The sequence below is a fragment of the Homo sapiens genome, chromosome 10 (assembly GCF_000001405.40).
Source record: "Homo sapiens chromosome 10, GRCh38.p14 Primary Assembly".
Classification (NCBI taxonomy): domain Eukaryota; kingdom Metazoa; phylum Chordata; class Mammalia; order Primates; family Hominidae; genus Homo; species Homo sapiens.
The window spans coordinates 78202855-78204562 of NC_000010.11; the positions used below are offsets into that span (position 1 = coordinate 78202855).

Below are 1708 nucleotides of genomic sequence, written 5' to 3' on the forward strand. Positions count from 1 at the left end.
GTCCAGCCCTTTCATGAAGCCCAGAGAGGGGAAGAGCTTGGATAAGGCTGCATAGCTGGTGGGCCCAGGGCCAGCTCAGAGCAGGGCCTCAGACAATGTCAGCTGAATGAATGATACAGCTTCCCTGCTTGACATGGGACAGGGACCCTTTCTCTCCCTACAGGGGCAGTTCTGCAGGGATGGGATCATCTTTTCAAGCCACTGCCTGGGTCTTTGCATCACTCATCATCACCCCAGGAATGACATTAACAGTGGGCCCAGCTGCTTGTGACTGGCCTGCTCCCCGCACCCTCCCCATCACCTCACACTGGCACATGGACCACAGTGGGCCTCTAGGGAGCCCTACCCCTTTTCCCAAGATGGGAGGCCGGAGCAGGGACTGAGTCCTGGTGTGGCCTCATGTTGCTGTGCCCTTGTCCTCGCCCCTTCCTTTCCTCTGCACCTCGGTTTCTGCTTCTCCAACCTATGTTCTTCGGTGCTGCCCTTGGTGTGGGGATGGGATAGTGCGGAAGAGAGAGCAGGACTGGGGCTTGATCGCCTGGACCCAAACCCTGCTCTACCCTGACCAGCTCTGCAGCTGGCCTGGGGCGAGGCACTCACCTCTCTGAGCTTGGAGCTTCTCCCTGAAAGATGGGTGAGAATCCATTCTCCACCCTAGTCTGTGATGAGGGCTGGGTAACGCTGTGCCGGTTACCCAGTACCTGTCCAGCACCTGCCCTGTGCATGTTCTGGAAGTATGGCCAGTACTTTCATTACCTCTTCAGCGTCATTGCCCCCATCCTGGCATCCTAGCACCTGGCCCTCATTTGGATAATGCTTTATCCAAAGATAAAGCATTCTGTGCGATGGAACATTCCATCTCCAAGCCTTTGCTGTCACTTGTGCCTGAAATGCCCTCTCGCTGTCGCTCTGAATCGGAGACCCCCTGTTTGCCCCCTGACCTGGCCTGTGTCTCAGAATCCCTCTGGATTCACGCTCTTTCCTCTGGGTGCCCTACAGCCCAGGCCCTTCCTCTGCAGGGTCCCATCTGCAGGCTGCCCCACCATCCGGGCCCTCCACTTCTCTCTGTTCCTGGCACAGCTGTGACTGTCTCTCCCTGCCTCAGTACCCCGGAGGGTGTAGAGTGTCTGGATCAGGCTCTTTACCTCCCCAGCCTCACAGCCAAGGCTAAGAGAGGAGAAATGCCTGGGTTCAATTCCCAGCTCTGCCACTCCCCAGCTCTGTGACCTGGGGCAAGTATCTTCCCCTCTCTGAGCCTCAGTGTCCTCCTCTGTGCAGTGGGGATGTTGTCAGCCTTTGCTTGGCCGGGTTGTAGTGGAGATCATGTGAATCCACATCTGAGATTGCTTAGGATGGGTGCCCAGCTTCCCCTAAGGCCTGTGTGAGTGTTTGCTGTCATTATTGTTATTATTGTTGCTGTGGTCACCAACTCTCCCAAGGCTACAGAGCAGATAAGGAAGTGGGGTATCCTGGGTAGAGCGGCTGGGCCCAATGCCAAAGTCCAGCCAGTCTGCCCACCCATCTCCCTCCCACCTCTGAGGCCTCAGAGCTGCCAGCTCTTGAGGAGGGAGCTATGTATGTGCTGGGATTTCTGGAGGGGGAAGGAGAGCCCAGTGGGAGGAGGTAGAGCCCTTCTCCCCACCAGGGGTGGTTCTGGGAGGGGCAGGTGAGTGGCAGGGGATGTTGGAACAACAGAGCTCCTGTTTAC

At 57.2% G+C, this 1708-nt stretch overlaps 1 annotated feature.

Moving 5' to 3' along the window:
- Positions 408-907: an enhancer, noted in NCBI's record as "H3K4me1 hESC enhancer chr10:79963019-79963518 (GRCh37/hg19 assembly coordinates)". NCBI's record gives its function as "activates a minimal SCP1, AML or CMV promoter by ChIP-STARR-seq in naive H9 embryonic stem cells {active_cell/tissue: H9 hESC(naive)}" and the evidence as "EXISTENCE:reporter gene assay evidence [ECO:0000049][PMID:30033119]".